This window comes from Homo sapiens, chromosome 1, assembly GCF_000001405.40.
Source record: "Homo sapiens chromosome 1, GRCh38.p14 Primary Assembly".
Classification (NCBI taxonomy): domain Eukaryota; kingdom Metazoa; phylum Chordata; class Mammalia; order Primates; family Hominidae; genus Homo; species Homo sapiens.
Window position 1 is genome coordinate 235,070,103 of NC_000001.11, and position 22,466 is coordinate 235,092,568.

Here is a 22,466-nt window from a genome sequence, read left to right on the forward strand (position 1 = left end):
ATCCTCGCTTCCAGAAACTCCCCTTCTCCCTGCTGCATGGGACTGGTGCCAGGCTGCATCGTGGTTTGGCTTGGGAGCAGCGTGCCTCCCTCCTGAACGTCGCAGCTCCGTGTGCTTCCCGAGGTGACGAATGACCTTGATTCACATTGGTGAAGTAATGGCTTTCCTCCTCAACCTTCTCATCCATTAGTCACGTTGCAACACGGCCCTGCATGGCACAGAATGCATTCCCAGGAGCCAGCTCAGGGAATTGCAAACACCTGCCAGGCTCGGCTTACCAAACTCACAGTCACACAGTCAGCCCAGGTGCCCGGAACTGCCTTGGCCCGCTGCCACCAAAGGCCCCACAGCAGGGACTTGGGAAAGTCTGAGAGCAAAGGCCAAGGACTGGAGCTTAGGTCCAGGTCTCCCCTTGCTCCGTAACTTTGGGCAAATGACTTAACCTCTCTTAGCTTCTGCATCTATACATCGCCAATAACGCTACGAGCACTGGGGAAAAGCAAATGAGAAAGTGGCTGCAGAAGTATTTTGTAAGCTGTTATAAAGCACCAGACAAATGACAGTGGTTCAGTCCCATGGAAAAACTGGTCACAATGGGTGACCGCTGGGTCATTACCCAAGGAGTTTTTTGTTTGTTTGTTTGTTTGTTTGTTTGTTTCTTGAGACAGGGTCTTGCTCTGTCACCCAGGCTGGAGTGCAGTGGCACAATCACGGTTCACTGAAGCCTCAACCTCCTGGGCTCAGGTGATCCTCCCACCTCAGCCTCCTGAGGAGCTGGGACTGCAGGTGCATACCACCACACCTGGCTAATAATTTTATTTTTTGTACTTGATCTTAGCTAAAAGGCTGAGAAGTGATATAATTTTATCTTTTGTAGAGATGGGGTCTTACTGTGCTGCCCAGGCTGGTCTCAAATGGCTGGGCTCAAGGGATCCTCCTGCCTCAACCTTCCAAAGTGCTGGGATCACAGGCATAAGTCACCAAGCCCAGACACCTAAAGATGGCTCATTTCTATGAGGAATAGAAATGATGTCCCTGAATCCATTTCTGGGACATGGAAAGACATAACACAATGTTTCTAGTACAGGTTGAATATGCTTCTCATTTAAATACCTAGGGGGCTAGGCACAGTGGCTCATGCCTGTAATCCCAGCAATTTGGGAGGCCCAGGCAGGAGGATCACTTGGGGCCAGGAGTTCAAGACCAGCCTGGGCAACAGGGCAAAACCCTGTCTCTACTAAAAATACAAAAATTAGCCGGGCGTAGTGGCGCATATCTGTAATCCCAGCTACTCAGGTGGTTGAGGCACAAGAATCACTTGAACCCAGGAGATGGCGGTTGCAGTGAGTCGAGATCACACCACTGCACTCCAGCCTGGGTAACGGTGCAAGACTCCATCTCAAAAAATAATAAACAGCTTGGGAATCACAGTGTTTTGGAGTTTGCATTTTTTTGGATTTTGGAATATTTGCATAATATGCTTATCAGTTGAGCATCCCAAATCCAAAAATCCAAAATCCGTAATGCTCCAATGAACATTTCCTCTGAACATCAGGCTGATGCTCAAAAAGTTTCAATTTCTGGAGGATTTCGGGTTTTTGGTTTGGAATGCTCAACCTATATATCAGTAACTAAACTTCCTGTGTAAAATCTGAGAAACAAACCCCATGCCACATTGCAAAGCATTGTAATAAGATGCCAAGAAATATCTATAGGTGTATGTATAGTACAACCTCTGCCCCAAAATCATTGCTTGGAGACTTGGGATTGGAACCTACATTGCATTAATGGCTATTATTTGAGCCTGCAATGAGATACAGTAGGTGGGTTCAACAGTGGACTCAGATGCCTGTAATCCCAGCTACTCGGGAGGCTGAGGCAGGAGAATCGCTTGAACCCAAGAGGCGGAGGTTGCCGTGAGCTGAGATCGTGCTACTGCACTCCAGCCTGGGTGACAGAGTGAGACTCTGTCTTAAAAAAACAAAAACAAAAACAGTGGGCACCATCTTCCCAAGAAATCCTGAATTATGTATCACCTCCCCTAGCATCCAGAATCACACACGGCCCCACAACCCACAAGGTCCTCCCTACAGGACCACACCCCTGCTCACCACCCTCACATCCTCTCTTGCTACCATCCAAGAGCAGCGTCCTCCCCCAAGCTTTGGACAGGCCACCCTCATTCCCCTCTCAGGGCTTTTCCGCAGTTGTTTCCTCCCGCTGGAATGCTGGTCCTCTGGTCTGGGTCCTTCTGCCCTTTGCGGAGCTGCTCGTGCAGACACCTTCTCTGATTCCCTATCTAAAATTTTTGCTCAGCCAGGCACAGTGGTTCATATCTGTAATCCCAGCACTTTGGGAGGCTCAGGTGGGAGGATCCTTTGAGCCCAGGAGTTCCCAGCTTGGGCAACACAGCAAAACCCCATCTCTACAAAAATATTTTTAAAAATTAGCCAGGCATGGTGGTGCACACCTGTAGTCCCAGCTATTCAGGAAGTTGAGCCAGGAGGATCACTTGAGCCCAGGAGTCTGAGGCTGCAGTGAGCTATGATCACACCACTGCACTCCAGCCTAGGAGACAGAGTGAGACCCTGTCTCAAAAAATAAAATAGCCAGGAGCAGTGGTTCACACCTGTAATCCTAACACTTTGGGAGACCAAGGGGGGTGGATCACCTGAGGTGAGGAGTCCAAGACCTGCCTGAGCAACATGGTGAAACCCCGTCTCTACTAAAAATACATTAGCCAGGCATGGTGGTGGGCGCCTATAATCCCAGCTACTCAAGAGGCTGAGGCAGGAGAATTGCTGAACCTGGGAGGTAGAGGTTGCAGTGAGCCGAAATCATGCCACTGCACTCCAGCCTGGGCAACAGAGTGAGACTCCATCTCAAAAATAAAATAAAATAAAATAAAATAAAATAAAATAAAATAAAATAAAATAAAATAAAATAAAATAAAAAAGTTGTTCCTCCTCTCCTACCCTCCCCTCTAGCCAATCTCTGTCCCATTATGCATTTTTAGTGTCCTTATAGCATGTCACTCTCTGAAATGATTTCTTCTTAATTTTATGTATTGACTGTCTCCTATGTCTCCTATGAACACCATAAAGGCGGGGCCACATCCCCCTCATTTACCACTGGAATGGAACAATTCCTGGGCCAGAACAGGGTGCTTAAAAAGCATCTGTTGACCCCCTCCAAGAGTCCAGTAACTTCAAGCAAGCTGAGCAGGAGAGCACCAACACCTCTCGAGTTGCCAATGGCCAGTTTCAACACCTCAGACAGTGGGGCCCACGGCCGAGCTCCTGCCATTGCATCTGAGGCCTCCAGTGCTAAGGGAGAAGCCCTGGGCCTCTTCCACTTTTGGCCTCCTTCTCTGCTGGAGCTGCACCAATTTCCACAGGAGTTGGTGACGGGGCACGAGTTGGCCCCGGTGCTCCACACCCAGAGCCCTGGGCAGGAGAGCACCTTCTCCCTTTCTTGGCCTCACCACCAGGACCGGCAAGCTTTTCAATTCCCCCATCTGCAAGACAGGGACAAAGAATGCTTTGTCACCCCACCTACTTCTCACGGGTGTTATGAAACAACTATTTGCTCGGAAAACACTTTGAGCAACTTGGGGAAAGGTGCCCGGGGCTCAGATGACGCCTGTTGCATTTGATCCAGGCCAAGGAAGGACTGTGCCAACTAGTCATCCGGTCACCGCCGCACCCCCCGGAGGAGCAGGAGGCACAGCAGCTTCTCCTGTGTCTCCAAGCCTGTGTCACAAAGCCCGTTGGCCGTGCCGTGGTCCCAGAATCTACCCACAAGGTGTGTGTGTGTTCCTGCCATTGGCCGTGCCGTGGTCCCAGAATCTTCCCACAAGCTGTGTGTGTGTTCCTGGGGCTGCCTGAGCCACTGGTTTCAGCAGAATCTGAGCTCTCTATGGGCCTGGACAGTGGCCTCCAAACACCCAGCCTACCCTTAGCCAAGAAGAAGGGCCGAGGGTCACCTGGGGATAACATACCTGAGCTCCTGCCCTGCCGGGCGGGGCTGAGATTTTGCTGCCAGCATCGCAGGCAGGGAGCTGGGAACAAAGGCAAGTAGTCTTGGCTCCCCAGCCTCGGGAGGGCAGATCGTAACCTGCAAGCAGGCAGGTGCCTCCTGAGCCGACAGCAGTGGCAGCAGCCACCTCGTTACTATGACAACCATACTTGGCCACCATCACTCTGTCTCCAAGAGGGGCCAGCCCCAACCTTGACCACACAGGGTCACCCAGGGCTGCCCAAGGTGGAGAATGGAGAAGAACCCAGGCGAAGGCAGGCCAAGGGCCGATGGACACACCTCCCCTTTAGTCAACAGCTCAATCTAAGCTTCAGACTGGACATTCGACTCAAAGGTGGGACAGGCCTCTCTCTCTCTCTGCAGCATTCACCCCAGGCTGCTGCTTCAAGATAAACCCCTCTCCCTGCAGGTGACTTCAGCAAGGCCTTTAGCAGACAGTGAACAGCAGACAGCATGCATGTTTAATTATAACTCTCTTGCATAGGCAGGGCTGGCTATATACAGTATGTCTGCCTGTTACTAATTATATTTACTTTCAAACGAAGTGGGGGAGATCTTCTGAAGATGAGTCAGAAAACAAAAAAGCCCTTCGTTGTTATGAAAGCAGGGGAACGTCTCCTGAGAGCGTCTGAGCAGCACTGTCACTGCCTGACAATGGAAAACCTGAGCGCCAAGGCAGCCAACCCAGTAAACACTGCACGCTGGCTTTCCTGGCCCAGCGTCCCTTCGAGCCAGTGCCTGAACTGCATACCAAACCACAATCAATAGGAAAGGCGTTCTCCCTCCCGGACAGAGTGGCATTTAGAGCCTGGCTGGCTCTTCCTGCAAAGACAGGGCGACTCGGCGATCTGCTGTCACCTTAATTGGGAGGCAGCGTTCCAGTTGAAACACAGCAAAGGTTTTTTCCCTCATCAAAGGAGAAGCATTCTGACCAGATGGCTGAATTGAAAAGGCTTCATCCTCAGCCTCCACACAGCCAACGGTGTTATTAATAACAACACTGCGAATGCCACAAATCACATGCGAACACCTAGAAACCCAAAATAGTCACCACACGCAGAGCAGTTGTCCGCGCCTTGGCGGCGATTAGGTCATTGTACTAATTTCAGCTGGACGCAGCCTCACACACATATGTGGACTCACATCCGTGTCTGTCTGTGTGTTTGAGGTCTGCAAGGGTGAGGTGCCCGCGGTTGTTTGAGGGGAACTGGTCCCCAGGCCCCACTCAGCCATCAGCTGCCTCTTCTGAGAAGACTGCGTGGGCAGCCCTGCCTCCTCTCCACACAGACGCCAGAGTAAGCCCAGCCGAGGGTGACACATCCGCCCAGGAGAGCCATGCAAACTCATACTGTTCAGAATGGGTTTTCCAATCGTTTTCTAAACAGTCACACTTGTTTTGTTTGCTTTCTTCCAGGAAGGCTGCACTGTTTTGGAAAAGTAGGGGGAGGACATTTTTTTAAATGAGTTCACTTCCTGAGTCTTTAAAATATTTCCCTGTAGACAGAGTATTGGGAAGCTGTGGCCAGAGGACAGAGCGGTCTCAGGTGGGCGGCACCCGGAGTATGAGGATCAGAGCGTGTCCCCCCACGCGCACTCTTCACAAGCCGGGGAACTGGAGTTGGCAACGAGACAGCAAGGAAGGAGCTGGGAGAGCATCCCTTCCCAAACCCCCATCCCACTTCCCACCACCCTCCAAGAAAATGTTTCTAAAGCCAGGTTGGAATTTGGAATGGGTTTTCCTGTTTGTCCGGGCAAGGTTGAATTGTGAAATCACATTATTCAAAAGAGAAGAGAAACAGTAGATATGAGAGACTAGTCACTGGAGATTTTATTAGGAAGGAATCATGAGGGTAGCCAGCATGAGTCAAAGTGCATTATTTTACCCGTTACTCGTGGTCGCCCTATGAAGCAAATGGTGGTGAGCCTATTTCACAGGTAAGGCCCCGAGAGGTGAGGTGGCAATCCCAGGGGCCCTCTACCCACTCCCACAGACTAAGTCGGCTTCCCTGCTGGACACCTTAGCAATCTGCACCATTCCTTCATTGCTGGAGTCATCACTGGAAGTGAAAGTTATTTGCAGGGTGAGTTGGCCTATGTCTGTCACTCCCCACTAGAATGAAAACTCCATGAAGACGGGGCTTGTCTTGCTCACCAAAGTACGCAGACTGGGCACAGTGCCGTGAGCACAGTAGCTTTGAAATATGTATTTATTGAAGAGATTAAAAAAAAAAAGCCAGGCATGGTGGCTCACACCTGTAATCCCAGCACTTTGGGAGGCCGAGGCAGGTGGATTACTTGAGATCAGGAGTTCGAGACCAGCCTGGCCAACATGGCAAAACTCCATCTCTACTAAAAATATATACATATATATATATATATATGCACAGTGGCGAGCACCTGTAATCCCAGCTACTTGGGAGGCTGAGGCAGAAGAATCACTTGAACCCGAGAGGCGGAGTTTGCAGTGAGCCGAGACCACGCAACCGCTCTCCAGCCTGGGCAACAGATCGAGACTCCATCTAAAACAACAACGACAACAAAAACAACGACAACAAAACCCTCTTGTTCTAAAGGAAGAAAGAAGGCCCAAAAAGAGAAACATGGCAACGCCGAGCATGCCAGCAGAAACATAACATGACCCACTTCAAAACCAGTGCCACAAACCCTTCCAAATTCACAAAACACTGGGGCCTGGAGGGCCTGGTACCTGGGCAGTGAATAGGCCTTTCCACTTCCTATCGAGGCACTGGACGGTATGCATAGGGAGTGTCCCCCCACATGCAGCAGATGGGGTACGAGTGCCCTTCCGACAAATGGAGAATCAAAGACAGAGACAGCAGTGCTTTATCCTGAAAGTAGCTCGAACAGCAAGGGCAGAGCTTGGCATCAGATCTGTCAGCCCTGCCCATAATTCCCTGATCAGATCACAGATGGAAGCAATGCTCTAGTTTTCAGAGCAATGGTCCAAATTCTAGTTTTACCCCACAAAGATTACACCCAGCCTCAAAGTGTGGGGACCTGGTCACTGAGAAAGCCTCCCTTTTCCCACCCTGGCTCCCCCTGCTCCCCTCAAAGCCCCCAAGCTTCACTAGAGTGGGTAATGAGATGAGGAAGAAGAGCAGATGGAAGAGCAGGCAGAAAAGGAGGGCTGGAAAGAGGAAGGACCCTCCCACCACCTCACCAAACTGAAGGCTGTGCTCCCAGCAGGCCTGCTGGGGTCTTGTCTTCCATGTGTTTTAAGGCACAAGCATTTGTAAAGGCCTGTTGGCTCATTGTGTTCCTGGCCTTGTCTTAGCACTAGAACTCCTCAGGAAAAACACAGAGCCCTGCCCTCGAAAGGCTTCCAGTCTCACAGCAAACCAAACAGTACAGCTTAGAGGTCTCCAGGCACAAAGGCTGCTTGCCATTCCTGGCTTTTCCATTCTCCCAAGTCCGGGTGAGGAAGTTGTGCTGTTCCAGCCTCAAACCAAGCCAGGCACTCCCTTTGGGCCTCTTAATTTCTGAATTCTGCTGGGTCAAGGTTTATGAGAAAGTGGATGCAGTCATTTCTAGGAGAAACAGAAGTGGGGAACTTGTAACACATCACCCCTAAGGAGACCACACTTGGTTCCTGGGTCACACCGAGTACATGGGGACAGTTTGACTCATCACATCTCCTTTCCTCTGGTAAGCGGCCCTCTGGAGCTGCGGCATAAATGCTGAGCCCAGGGCCCAGAAGAGTCAGGACTACCCTGTGGGCACCGTGTGTAACACACACCAGAAAATGCCCGAGACCCACGGCACGCGACTTAGCAGCTGTCACGGAGCACGAGAAAGCGCGCCTTCCACCATGAATTCTCTCTAAAAGCCATCTGACTACAGCAGCTCAGATGACTTTGTTCTTAGTGTTACATTTTAACTGACAAAGTTTAACAACAACTATGACTTACGGCCTTCTAAAATTGGCAGCAAAACAGGAAAAAACACAAGTGAAGCCACTCAGTACCATGCATGATTTCTGTTGTTTCTGAGCATGTGTGCATGTGTATATGTGTGTGTTATGTGTATGTGCATATGTGTATGTGTGTATGTGTGTAGGAATGTGTTGTGTGCTATGCGTGTATGTGTATGTTATGTGTGTGCTTGTGTGTTATGTGTATGAGTATGTGTGTATGTGTGTTATATGTGTATGTGTGTGTTGTGTGTATGTGTGTGTAGGTTATGTATGTGCTATGGTTGCATGTTATATGTTATGTGTGTGCATATGTGTTATGTGTGTATGAGTATGTGTGTTGTGTGTGTTGTATGTGTGTGTTGTGTGTGTGCATATGTGTTGTGTGTGTTGTGTTTGTGTGTTATGTGTGTGTGTATGGTGTGCGTTATGTGCATGTCTGTTACGTGTGGTGTGTATGTATGTTATGTGTGTGCTATGTGTGTATGTGTATGTTATGTGTGTGCTTGTGTGTTATGTGTGTATGAGTATGTGCATATGTGTGTCATATGTGTATGTGTGTGTTGTGTGTATGTGTGTTGTGTGTGTTCATGCATGTTGTGTTTGTTGTGTTTGTGTGTGCTATGTGTGCGTGTATGTGTGTGTTGTATGTATGTGTGTTATGTGCATGTGTGTTATGTGTGATGTATGTGTGTGTTTTCTAATGGTAGAAATATATTCCAGACACACTGTCCTGGTGTTCCCAAGCACATATTTATGCCAAGTTTATAAAAAGCAGCTGCAGACAGGACTGACTGAAGGCTCACTCTGCTGTCTGGCTTCCAGAAGGTGCATCGGTTCTCACTCTGTCACCAGGACTTGGATTTACCTTTTAAAACCCTCTAACTTTCTGCATCGTGCACCTGAAGGAGACACACCTGTGGCTCAGAGTGAACCAGAACAATGTCCACCTCTTCCCTTCTAAGCTTTCATAGTACACTTTTTATTTGAAACGTGCTTGAATGACGTGTGTTGTGATCATTTTTAGTCCATCAAAGTCCTCAAACAGATACAAAAAGGAAAGTGTTCCAAGGCTCATTTCACAAATATCTGGGTGTCTCAGAGAGGCAGAGTGACTCAAGCACAATCAGCGGTTTTCTGAATCCTTTAGAACATAGGGCAGAGGCCTCTGTGGGTCAGTTGAGGCCAAACTGTCTCTTCATCCACTGGCTCTGGTTTCAGTAAGATGCCCTTTTCCATCAGCCTAAGCCTCTCAGTCCTTCCCCACATACTCCCTGTGGTCTCTCCCACCCCGACCAGTGAGAAGCTCCAGCCTCTACTTTACCTGCCTTTGGTTCGTCCCCCACCCCAACACCCTGAGAAATCCGAGTGGCTGTCATCTCCTGTGCCCAAATCCACACACTCATCTGCCAGTTTTCTCACTGACCTGGGATAGGGACTCCACTTACTTCCCTCCTCCACCATGGGCTTAATAAAGACAATAATAACCTGCTTTGTAGCTCTCCTGGGGGTGACTAATTGGTTAATCTTGGGAAGGCCCTTTGAAGATGAGAAGCCGGTATTACTCACGGGGTTGAAGGCATGCACCTGCCCCAGTCTGGGCCTGAGTCAGCAGAGAATGGCCTCCCACCTGCAAGCAGGCTGGGAGAGCTGGCCGGGGCCTCTGCTCAAGGTCAAGGTTGGCCAACAGAGGGGTGTGGAGCACACACCTGGCACCTGTGGGAGGAAACCAAGAGGCCTTGGCGGCCTGCGCTGGGTGAGCCTTTCCAACTCTGGGAACTGTGCCCCATCAGCATTTGCAAGGTGTAATAAGCCTTCCAGTAACTCTGCCAAGAGGGCAGCACATGTCAGGAATAGCAATCGAGACAGTATTTCCTGGTAATTGTTTGGGGAAAATGCTTTTCTCATAGCAAAGCCCTCCCATTTTCTCCTTCCTCTGGAGGAAGGGGAGCCAGGGGAGGTAAGTAGGGCATAGAGCTGTGGGGCCTGAGATTTAGGATGCAAGCTGTGGGCAGCGGGGCTCTCTTCTTAAACAGCTCATGGGTATCCTCAGCCTGTCTCCTACTCATCTCTCCAAGGAAAAGGAAGTGGCAGCAAGAACTGGGAACCACCTAAATAAATTAAAAATAGAACTACCACATGATCCAGCAATCTTCCTTTTGGTTATATACCCAAAAGAGAGAAAATCACCACCTAGGAGAGGTAGCTGCACTCCCGTGTTCACAACAGGCAAGATAGGGAAGCAACCTAGATGTCCATTATGGACAAATGAGTAAAGAAAATGTGTGCACTCAACAGGAATGGGGAAAGAAAGAATGAAGAAAGAGAGAAAGGAAGGAAAGAGAAGGGAAGGGAGGCAGGCAGGCAGGAAAAGAAAGAGAGAGAAAAAGAGAAAGAAAGAAGAAAGAAAGAAAGAAAGAAAAAGAAAGAAAGAAAAGAAAGAAAGAAAGAGGCTGGGTGCGGTGGCTTATGCCTGTAATCCCAGCACTTTGGGAGGCCGAGGTGGGCGGATCACCTGAGGTTGGGAGTTCGAGACCAGCCTGACCAATATGGAGAAACCCTGTCTCTACTAAAAATACAAAATTAGCCAGACATGGTGGTGCATGCCTGTAATTCCAGCTACTCAGGAAGGCTGAGGCAGGAGAATCGCTTGAACCCGGGAGGCGGAAGTTGCAGTGAGCCGAGATGGCACCATTGTACTCTAGCCTGGGCAACAAGAGCGAAAAAAAGAAAGAAAGAGAGAGAGAGAGAGAGAGAGAGAGAGAGGGAGAGGGAGAGGGAGAGAGAGAGAGAGAGAGAGAAAGAAAGAAAAGAAAGAAAAAGGAGGGAGGGAGGGAAGGAAGGAAGGAAAGAAGAAAGAAAGAAAGAAAGGGAAGGAAAGAAGGAAGGAAGGAAGAGGAAGGCAGGCAAGCAGGCAAGGAAAGCAAGGAAGAGTGGGTGTGGTGGCTCACACCTGCAATCCCAGCAGTTTGGGAGGTCTAGGCAGGCAGATCGCTTGAGGCCAGGAGTTCAAGACCATCCTGGGCAACATGGTGAAACCCCATTTCTACTAAAAATACAAAAAATAGCCAGGCGTGGTGGCGCATGCCTATAATCCCAGCTACTCGGGAGGCTGAGGTACAAGAATCTCTTGAACCCAGGAGGCAGAGGTTGCAGTGACCCAAGATTGTGCCATTGCACTCCAGCCTGGGTGACAGAGCAAGTCTCTGTCTCAAAAAAAAAAAAAAAGGAGATCCACAACAAGAATGAACATGGAGGGAGGATAGGAAGGGTATTATGCTGAGTGAAATAAGCCAGACACAGAAAGACAAATACTGCACAGCCTTGCTTACAGGTGGAATCTTTTTTTTAAAAAAAGCCAAATACACAGAGATGGAGAATAAGACAGTTGTTACCAGTATTGGGGGTGAGGCAGAGGAAATGGGGAGGTGAATGCGGAAGGACACAAAGCAGCAACTATGCAGGATGAACAAGTGGAAAGATCTGATGTACAATATGAAGACACACTTAGTTAACAGTGTACTGTATCCAACATCTTTGCTAAATGAGTAGATTATAGTTGATTGTAGCTGCTCTTACCACAGGGGAAAAATACGTACCTATGAGAGATGACGGCTATGTTCATTTGCTCCACTCTGGTAACTGTTTTACTATATGTACATGTACCTCATAACATCACATTGTATACCTTAAGTATACACAATAAATTTTGAAAAAAAAAAAAAAGGGGCTGGGCGCAGTAGCTCATGCCTGTAATCCCAGCACTTTGGGAGGCCAAGGTGGATGGACTGCTTGAGGTCAGGAGTTGGAGACCAGCCTGGCCAACATGGTAAAACCCCATCTCTACTAAAATACAAAAATTAGCTGGGCATGGTGGCGCACGCCTGTAATCCCAGCTACTCGGGAGGCTGAGGCAGGTGAATTGCTTGAACCCAGGAGGTGGAGGTTGCAGTGAGCCGAGATAGCACCACTGCACTCCAGCCTGGGTGACAGAGACAGACTCTGTGTCAAAAAAAAAAAAAAAAAAAAAACTCATGCCTGTAATCCCAGCACTTTGGGAGACTGAGGCAGGTGGATCACCTGAGATCAGGAATTCAAGACCAAACCCCTTCTCTACTAAAAATACAACAATTAGCTGGGCGTGATGATGCATGCCTGTAGTCCCAGCTACTCAGGAGGCTGAGGCAGGGGAATCACTTGAACCCAGGAGGCAGAGGTTCCAGTGAGCCAAGATCACGCCACTGCACTCCAGCCTGGGCAACAGAGCAAGACTCCATTTAAAAATAAAAATAAAAAAAGAGAGGGCCAGGCGCAGTGGCTCACGCCCAAAATCCCAGCACTTTGGGAGGCCGAGGCAGGTGGATCACCTGAGGTCAGGAATTTGAGACCAGCCTGGACAACATGGTGGAACTCCTTCTCTACTAAAAATACAACAAGGAGGCTGAGGCAGGAGAATCACTTGAACCCGGAAGGCGGAGGTTCCAGTGAGCTGAGATCATGCCACTGCACTCCAGCCTGGGCAACAGAGTGAGACTCCGTTTCAAAAATAAATAAATAAATAAAAAAGAGAGGGCCAAGCGCAGTGGCTCATGCCTGTAATCCCAGCACCTTGGGAGGCCAAGGCAGGTGGATCACCTGAGGTCAGGAATTCGAGACCAGCCTGGCCAACATGGTGAAACCCCTTCTCTACTAAAAATAAAAAAATTAGCTGGGCATGGTGATACGTGTCCGTAATCCCAGCTACTCAGGAGGCTGAGGCAGGAGAATGGCTTGAACTCGGGAGGCGGAGGTTGCAGTGAGCCGAGATCGTGCCACTGCACTCCAGCCTGGGTTACAGAGTGAGACTCTGTCCTCCTCCCCACCAGCCACCCCCACCCCCCACTGCAAAAAAAAAAGAAAGAGAGGCCAGGTGTGGTGGCTCATGCCTGTAATCCCAGCACTTTGGGAGATTGAGGTGAGAGGATCTGGCTTCAACCCAGAAGTTACCAGCCTGGGCAATCTAGTGAGACCCCATCCCTCCGAAAAAACTAAATATTAGCCGGGTGTAATGGCATGTACCAGTAGTAAACTCCTGGCAGGAGGACTGCTTAAGCCCAGGAGTTTAAGGTTGCAATGAGTTATGATGGCACTGCTGCACTCCAGCCTGGGTGACAGAGCTACAGAGAGAGAGAGAGACAGAACTGAGAACCAGAAGAGGCTAAAGCAAGTAGAAGAAGGCAAGCGTCCCTTCAGACCACGCCTCCACCCACCCTTGACCCTGCGAGAGGGATTTAGACACAGTGGCAGCTGGGAAGCCAAGAACAGAACACATTAAGCCTTGCAACCTAATGCCAAGATTCCGCCCGAGAGACCCCATTTCCTGCCCTCTCTGCACATTCCTTCCATTCCTCCCAAGCACCTTCTCCCACTGCTATTTTCTTCTTTCTTCTAGAAAACAAGTCATGTGGCCAGAAGGATGTCAGGCACTTCTGCTTTCTCTTTTAGATTCCCGGGTTCTTATAAGGTTTTCCTGGCCTTCTCTCTGCCTGCAAAGCCCCTGGCACCGCAGAGGCCCCCAAAACACACAGGATGATAAAGCTCTAGAGAGACAGGATGGAAGCCTGGGTGCATGAGTGCGGGAAAGAGGGCACAGGGGCTACTAAATCTTTGCCCAGATGGCGGGGCGGGGCTGGGGGAGCAGAGCAGCAGCAACAGGCTGTGAAGTGATTTTGTTCTGTTCAGTTAGGAAGGAGGTGGGTGGAAATGACAGTTTGGAGCCGATCAGAACAGAGGAAACTGTTTCAGGAGAAGCTGCCTCCCTTCTCCAGTTCTAACAGTGCCATCAAGCGGCTCGAGGAGCAGGCGCAGGGCAGTGCCTCCAGACAACCTGAGCTGACCCCTCAGCAGAGGAGCACGAGGCTGGGCAGAGGGGCAGCTCTCAGCACCCTGCCTGTGGCAAGGGCCAGTCTTCAGCCTCCCAGACAGATGGCCAAACACCTTTCCCTAGAACGATCTGCAAGGAGGTGGGTAAGGTATCTCCCCAGTTGTAGGAATAATGCACAAGCACCTTGATGGATACGGACAGTCAAGTTTATCAAGGTCCTGCGAGGCGCTTCACTGGAACACACTGGGACAAATGCCATCGTCCTGTAAAAGGCGCCAAAGCACATTTTCAACCTGAGACGTGGTCAGTCACCAGGGCAAGCCTGTCAATGCCATCAGGCCCTTGTTGATTGATGTTCAAAGGAGAGCAGAGGACAAAGAGGACAAAAGGGCGCTGGGCAAAACCAGCTGTGACCAGCACACCAGGGGGAAGGCTCATAGGATCCTCCAAGCTAAATTTATTGTTTCACCTACTTCACTCGCATTCCTTTTTGAATTCTGCAAATCAAAATCTATTCACCTAAGAAATACAAGGCTGGGCACGCTGGCTCACGCCTGTAATCCCAGCACTTTGAGAGGCCGAGGTGGGTGGATCATACAGTCAGGAATTCGAGACCAGCCTGGCCAATATGGTAAAACCCTGTCTCTACTAAAAATACAAAAATTAGCTGGGCTTGGTGGCGCATACCTGTAGTCCCAGCTATTCGGGAGGCTGAGGCAGGAGAATCACTTGAACCCAGGAGGCAGAGGTTGCAGTGAGCTGAGATCACGCCACTGCACTCCAGCCTGGGCGACAGAGCAAGACTCCATCTCAAATAAATAAATAAATAAATATAAAAATTAGCCAGGGTGGTGGTGCACACCTGTAATCCCAGCGACTGGGGAGACTGAGGCAGGAGAATGGCTTGAACTTGGGAGGTGGAGGCTGCAGTGAGCTGAGATCACGCCACTGCACTCCAGCCTGGGTGACAGAGCGAGACTCTGCCTCAAAATAAATAAAGAAGGAAACAAAAGACTTTCTCAGCAGTTGTGTGTCTGGATAACCGCAAATGAGGAGGAGGTGGACAAGGAGGAGGGAGAACATTCTACAAGGAGCCCAGGACCCTAGGGTGGGTCCAAGCGCTGACATTAAGTCACTGTGCACCTCTGAGGAGGTAGCCTCACTCTCTCAGCCTCATGTTTATCAGGTGTAAAAACAGAGGCTTAGAACGAGATCCATAGTTTTCTTTTTTTTTGAGACAGAGTCTCACTGTCTTCCAGGCTGGAGTGCAGTGGCGTAATCTCTCTCACTGCAACTTCTGCCTCCTGGGTTCAAGTGATTCTCCTGCCTCAGCCTCCCGAGTAGCTGGGACTACAGGCACACGCCGCCATTCCCGGCTAATTTTTGTATTTTTAGTAGAGACAGGTTTCACCATATTGGCCAGGCTGGTCCTGAAATCCTGACCTCAGATCCACCCTCCTTGGCCTCCCAGAGTGCTGAGGTTACAGGCGTGAGCCACTGCATCTGGCCAGATCCATGGTTTTCTTTTTTTGTTTTTTGTTTTTTGTATTTTTTTGAGATGGAGTCTCACTCTGTCACCAAGGCTGGAGGGCAGTGACGTGGTCTTGGCTCACTGCAACCTCTGCCTCCTAGGTTCAAGCGGTTCTCCTGCCTCAGCCTCCAGAGTAGCTGGGATTACAGGCACCTGCCATCACACCTGGCTAATTTTTTGTATTTTTAGTAGATTCGGGGTTTCACCATGTTGGCCAGGCTGATCTCGAGCTCCTGACCTCAGGTGATCTACCCACCTCAGCCTCCCAAAGCACTGGGATTGCAGGCACGAGCCACCACGCTCAACCAGATCCATGGTTTTCAAAACCACAGCTCCTCAGACCCCAGGGGAGGGGAGGAGCTAACTGGATGGACTTTGGCCCCCATCTCAGTTTACCAGAACAATTCATTCATTCTTCTTTCATGTTTCGCGTTTAGGTTAAGATTTTATTTGAACAAAGTGTTCTGCAGTCTTGTGGGCACTTTTGGAGGGATCTGCCCTGCCCATGGCTCTCAGAACTGTCCCCCATGCCCACAGAGTTGACCTGAGGTCAGGAGTTCGAGACCAGCCTGAGCAACATAGTGAAACCCTGTCTCTACCAAAAAATACAAAAATTAGCCGGGCATGGTGGCCTGCGCCTGTAATCCCAGCTACATGGGAGGCTGAGGTGGGAGGATTGCTGGAGCCCGGGAGGTTGAGGTTGCAGTTAGCCTTGATCAGGTCACTGCACTTTAGAATGGGTGACAGTAAGACCCTGTCTCAAAAAAAAAAAAAAAAAAACTTAAATTAAAAGCAAAATGTTCAGTCAGGCGTGGTGGCTTACACCTGTAATCCCAGCATCTTGGGAGGCCGAGGCAGGCGGATCATGAGGTCAGGAGATTGAGACCATCCTGGCTAACACGGTGAAACCCCGTCTCTACTAAAAATACAAAAAATTAACCGGGCATGGTGGCAGGCGCCTGTAGTCCCAGCTACTGGGGAGGCTGAGGCAGGAGAATGGCGTGAACCCGGGAGGTGGAGCTTGCAGTGAGCCGAGATCGCGCCACTACACTCCAGCCTGGGCAACAGAGCAAGACTCTATCCCAAATAAATAAATAAATAAATAAATAAATAAATAAATAAAATGTTCAATACAGCATATCATATAATGACTCAGTAAATATTAATGTTTTTATCACTTCCATTGTTGATATATTCAAAAGTTGTTTGTAAATCATTCATGTTTTCCTGTTGCTATAAAATTAAATTTCAGAAATATCATGGACTACACCTACCAATAATACTATAAATTTTAATTTCAAAACTATTTTCTTATTCATATCTACTTGGACTATACCTACCAATAACATCTAATGCTTTTCTTTAAATTTATTTGTCCTAAAAACTTCCATCCAAGGACTTACATATTTGTAGATAGGCTAATTTACTCATTTGTCCACTTAATCTTTTTTTTAGATGCTCTGAGATTTACCAAAGAAATAGATGGCAAAAATCCCTTCACTAAGCGTTTCCAGGGTAGAATTTGAAGAAATCATAATTTTAAGTGTATATTTCGTAAATTAGGTTTCTTAGATTTGAGGTCACCTGAGTTCCCACAGTAAGAGATCAAAGACTCATATATTACCAATATGAGAAAAGGCCTCCAAAATTTGCATTTGTCACACTTTGGGTCACAGCCCAGTCGTGGGACCTGAAATCAATTTAATAGATCAGAACCAGCATTTTAGATTTTTTTTTTTCTTTTTTGAGACAGAGTCTTGCTCTGTCACCCAGGCTGGAGTGGTGCGATCTTGGTTCAATGCAACCTCCGCCTCCTGGGTTCAAGCGATTCTCCTGCCTCAGTCTCCCGAGTAGCTGGGATCACAGGTGCCTACAACCACGCCCAGCTAATTTTTGTATTTTTGTAGAGACAGGGTTTCACCATGTGGCCAGGCTGGTCTCGAACTCCTGACCTCAGGTGATCCACCCGCCTCGGCCTCCCAAAGTGCTGGGATTACAGGTGTGAGCCATCAGGCCTGGCCTAGAATTTTTTTTTTTTAATTAGAATATGTCACATGCAGTAAAACTAAGTATTGTTTTGTACAAATGGATATCAACCCTGTAAATGTGTGTGCTGAGTGAAGATGTCAAACACCCCCTCGGCCAGGCGTGGTGGCTCACACCTAGAATCCCAACACTTTGGGAGGCTGAGGCAGGAGAATCGCTTGAGCCTAGGGATTTGAGACCAGCCTGGGCAACATAATGAGACCTCGTCTCTACAAAAAGAAATTTTTTAATTAGCCAGGCATGATATTGCGCACCTATAATCCCAGCTACTTGGGAGGCTGAGGTGGGAGGATCACTTGAGCCTGGGAGATTAAGGCTGCAGTGAGCGGTGATTGCCCCATTGCACTCCAGCCTAGGTGACTAAGAGAGACCCTATCTCAAAAAAAATTGAAATTAAAATTTGTAAACCACAAAAACTTACCTCTCACTGCGGGTCTCAGTCAACACAGCCTGCCAACGCTCTCACACAACCATTTGACCCGCCCCTTCTGTTCCTCAGTCTTCAACCCAACCTAACACACATGCAACCTCACCCCAGGACACCTGTGCATCATTGCACCTGCCCAGGATTTCATCAGCAGCCTGGACACTGGCAGAATGGTAGGAATGTTTAAGGCTGACCCAATCATGGCTTCCTCACCTCGGAGTACTGCCTCTGCCAGGGCCCTTCCTGCCACATTTGATTCCCAATACACATCCGTTTGGTTTTTGTTTTATTGGGTTTTGAGTTTGTTAGGGGGAGTGGGAGAGGGGTGCAGGTGGCTGGTAGACCAGTAGAGTTCAGGAAGCCGGCTGTTAAACCCCTGGTCACTTTTGGTCAAGCTAGTGCTGGGCTTGGAGCTGGAGGCTGGAGGCTGTTCAGCACTCACCATCCTTACAGACACAAGCGGTCAAGAGGGTCCTCACTCATTACCACCTTTAATCTCCAGTAGTCCACTGGCAATCTCTGTCAGCTCTGGCCATGTGTATGAAATAGCAGAGAATCTAGCTGAAAAATGATTTTTTTGTCTGCATGATACAAAATAATCATTTTACCTAATCTTTTTTCTTCACTCACATGACTGAACCACAAGATTGCTTTTGGCATCGTGTAGAGTAGACCTTGCAACTCAGAGCATGGAGCAAGGAGCTGCAACGCCAGCCTCGCCTGGGAGGCTGTGAAAAGGCAGAATCCTGGGTCCAGTCTAGACCTAAGGATTCAGAATCTTCATTTTAGCAAGACTCCACAGGAAATTTACGCACACGTTAAAGTTTGAGGCGCAGTGGCATAGTTCTTATGCTGGCTGAAGTGCTGTTTTCATTAAGATTCATATCCAATTAGCTTTGGCCACAGGTGCTATTTTTGCAGGTATGCAGCGCTCTTGCAGGCCACTGGGACCTGCTGGGGTCTGGAGTGCCGCCTTCCGCTTCCATCATAGACCCAAGATTCAGAAATGCTAGCTCAGCTGAGTGAGGTGGCTCATGCCTGTAATCCTAGCACTTTGGGAGGCCAAGACAGGAGGATTGCCTGAGGCCAGGAGTTCAAGACCAGCCTGGTCACCATAGTGAGATCCCATCTCTACAAACAAACAAAAAAAATCAGCTGGGTGTGGTGGCGCATGCCTGTAGTCCTAGCTACTCGGGAGGCTGAGGCACGAGGATCACTTGAGCCTGGGAGTCTGAGGCTGCAGTGGAGCTGTGATGGCACCACTGAACCCCATCCTGGGCAACACAGTGAGACCCTGTCTCTAAAAATAAATAATGAATGAATGAAATGCTGGCTCACTAACAGCTGCTGGGCTTCGGCCACGTTTCCATCCCTCCGCAGTGAAATTGTCAGCGTGAGATCTGTCCTTTCCTGGCAAGCGCTGTCTTTCACTCTGGTTTTATTCTCTTCCTCCTACTTTTCTGGCGTTTAAATCTGCTTTGTTGTAGGACATGAGAGTGCCTGTGATTGTAGACATCATTTTGTTTGGTTTTGTTTATGTCTTCACTAGGCAAAATAACACTTGATTACCTATGTCTACCCTGTTGTTTTCAGTTTTCTAGCCTACGAATCCAAAAGTCTGGGAACAACTAGTAAAAATGAAACCGGCAGGGTGTCTTGCTGAAACCTGTGCGGCTAAAGCAGAATTGGAGTGTGGTGTGCCACCGAAGATTTGGGGTACAGCAGTGTTTGCGCCATCATTCAGAGTGCTGGAAACTAAAAGGGGCCCACTCTGTGAGAAAGAGGCACAGAAAGACAGCGGCACAGCTGGAAGGCGGCACTCCAGACGCCAGCAGGTCCCAGTGGCCTGCAAGAGCGCTGCGTACCTGCAAAAATAGCACCTGTGGGCAAAGCTAACTGGATATGAATCTTAATGAAAACAGCACTTCAGCTAGCATAAGAACTATAGGAAGACAGGCCAGGCACAGTGGCTCAGCACTTTGGGAGGCTGAGGAGGGTGGATCACCTGAGGTCAGGAGTTCGAGACTAGCCTGGCCAACATGGTGAAACCCCGTCTCTACTAAAAATACAAAAATTAGCCAGGCATGGAGGCATGTGCCTGTAGTCCCAGCTACTCAGGAGCTGGAGTCAGGAGAATCGCTTGAACTCGGGAGGCAGAGGTTGCAGTGAGCCAAGATTGCACCACTGCACTCCAGCCTGGGCAACAAAGTGAGACTCCGTCTCAAAAAAAAAAGCTGTAGGAAGACAGACCTCATGGCTGGACACCCAAAACCCAAACACGTCAAGGTTTGTTTTCTCTGATATCGTCTCCTGAAAACTAAAGAACCTGTCACAAGCAAGCAGACCTATCTCCAAGCAGAAGAAATCATGCAATGTGGGAAAGAGGGGTGATTTTCCTCAGTAAATGGAGTGGCTGGAGTGAGTCTGTGGGAAGCACAGAACCACGGCCTGGTGCAGTGGGAATGGAGGAAGGCCAGGAAGGCAGCAGCCACTGGACCTGGTGCGGTCCACAGAGGAACAGGAGCAGCCTTCGTCCTCAACCCACATCCCCAGGCCCTGTGCAGCTGCTCAGCTCCCCTGCAAGGCTCGAAGCCCCATCTCCAGCGTCCTGGGATTCTCAGCATTCCAAGCCTGGCACATAACAATGGCAGTGTTTGTAGCATTTCAGAACAAGCTTGGAAACTTTCAAATGTCAGAATGAGTGATGTGGAAAGCTTGTGGGAGACACAGAGAGGCAAAAGCTGAGCTGGGAAAATGGCAAGGCAGGGAGGCGCCAGAGGGAGCACTGCTTAACACGTCCGTGGGGCTCCAAGGCTTTTAATAAAGGGATCCTCAGAAGCAGAAAAACATCTTGAGCTGTCAGAGAAGCAGTGATGTGGCAAAAATGTGAAGATTTACTGCGGTCCCGGCGGGGAGAGCTGGGGCACGTGTTACTGATTTTATCAAGGACCCACTGTCTGATTCGCCAGAGGATTTCGTGGAACAGGGAGCGCTGCTATCCGAGCAGGATCTGGGCATCGGAAGACACACGCAGCTCCTGTCTTGCTAAGAGGAGGAGGCCACCTGTAACCAGGAAGCTCCCACACTGAAGACCAGACGTCACTCGATTCCCACGGTCCACATGGCCCTTCCAGAGGAGACTGTGTTGCACAGTCGTCCACAATTTTGGAACGTCTAAGAGATGCCCACTCTGTGAGAAGCACTGGGCAGAGCTTAGGAATAAACATGGGAAGGCAGAAGTACAGCTCAAAGGCGGCATTCCAGATGCCACTTCATCCCGGGGGGAATGACAGTGATGTACCCCACAGCAGGAAACCAGGGCTCAGCACCCCCGACCTCCCTGACTGCAGTCTTCTCACCTGTGAATGATAGACTAGGGCTGGATAATGGTGACATCCCCCATAGATGGCAAGATTCTCAGAAAGAAGAATCCTGGGTCTCCCTCAACCCATGTTAGGCCTCAGTGACTGGCATGGAGTCAGATCTGTCGAAGGAATGGGTGGGTGAGGCGGTGCAAGCCCCTCCTTAGGGCCGAGACTCAGGCTTGTCCCCAGGGTGGAGAGGTCTCTAGAGAGAGATGTGGCCAGGCGCAGTGGCTCACACCTGTAATCTCAGCACTTTGGGAGGCCGAGGCAGTGGATCACCTGAGGTCAGGAGTTCAAGACGAGCCTGATCAACATGGTGAAGCCTGTCTCTACTAAAAATACAAAAATTAGCCGGGCACGGTGACACGTGCCTGTAAACCCAGCTACTCAGGAGGCTGAGGCAGGAGAATCGCTTAAATCCGGGAGGTGGAGGCTGCAGTGAGCTGAGATTGCGCCATTGCACTCCAGCCTGGTTGACGAGAGCAAGACTCCGTCTCAAAAAAAAAAAGAGATGCAATACAGGCATGGTAGCTCACGCCTGTAATCCCAGCACCTCGGAGGTCAAGGCGGGAGGATTGTTTGAGGCCAGGAGTTCAAGACCAGCCCGGACAACATAGCAAGATCCCATCTCTACAAAAAATCTAAAAATTAGCCGGGCATGGTGGTGCATGCCTGTAGTCCCAGCTACTCGAGAGGCTGAGGTGGGAGGATCACTTGAGACCAGGTGTTGGAGGCTGCAACAATCTATGATGGTGCCCCTGCACTCCAGCCTGGGTAACAGAGCAAGACCCTATCTCAAAAGAGAGAGAGAGAGAGAAGCCATAAGCTCGCAAGGAACCCCCCTGCCTTCTCCCATCCACCACAACTGCCTGCTTGGGCAGCAGGAATGGGTATATGAGGACAGGGACTTGGAACCAGGCCAACCTCAGTCAGCTCCATGCTCACTTCTGCTGGGGTTTTTTTGTTTTGTTTTGTTTTTTTGAGACGGAGTCTTGCTCTGTCCCCCAGGCTGGAGTGCAGTGGTGTGATCTTGCAACCTCCGCCTCCCGGGTTCAAGCGATTCTCCTGCCTCAGCCTCCCGAGCAGCTGGGACTACAGGCGCGCGCCACCACGCCCGGCTAACTTTTGTATTTTTAGTAGAGATGGGGTTTCACTATGTTGACCAGGCTGGTCTTAAACTCCTGACTTCAAGTGATCCACCTGCCTTGGCCTCCCAAAGTGCTGGGATTACAGGCCTGAGCCACCGCCCCCGCCTCACTTCTCCT

The 22,466-nt window shown here is 49.6% G+C and overlaps 2 annotated features.

Moving 5' to 3' along the window:
- Positions 5,169-5,418: an enhancer, noted in NCBI's record as "active region_2790". NCBI's record gives its function as "activates an Ori minimal core promoter by ATAC-STARR-seq in GM12878 lymphoblastoid cells {active_cell/tissue: GM12878}" and the evidence as "EXISTENCE:reporter gene assay evidence [ECO:0000049][PMID:35858748]".
- Positions 12,458-12,980: an enhancer, noted in NCBI's record as "H3K27ac-H3K4me1 hESC enhancer chr1:235245875-235246397 (GRCh37/hg19 assembly coordinates)". NCBI's record gives its function as "activates a minimal SCP1, AML or CMV promoter by ChIP-STARR-seq in primed H9 embryonic stem cells {active_cell/tissue: H9 hESC(primed)}" and the evidence as "EXISTENCE:reporter gene assay evidence [ECO:0000049][PMID:30033119]".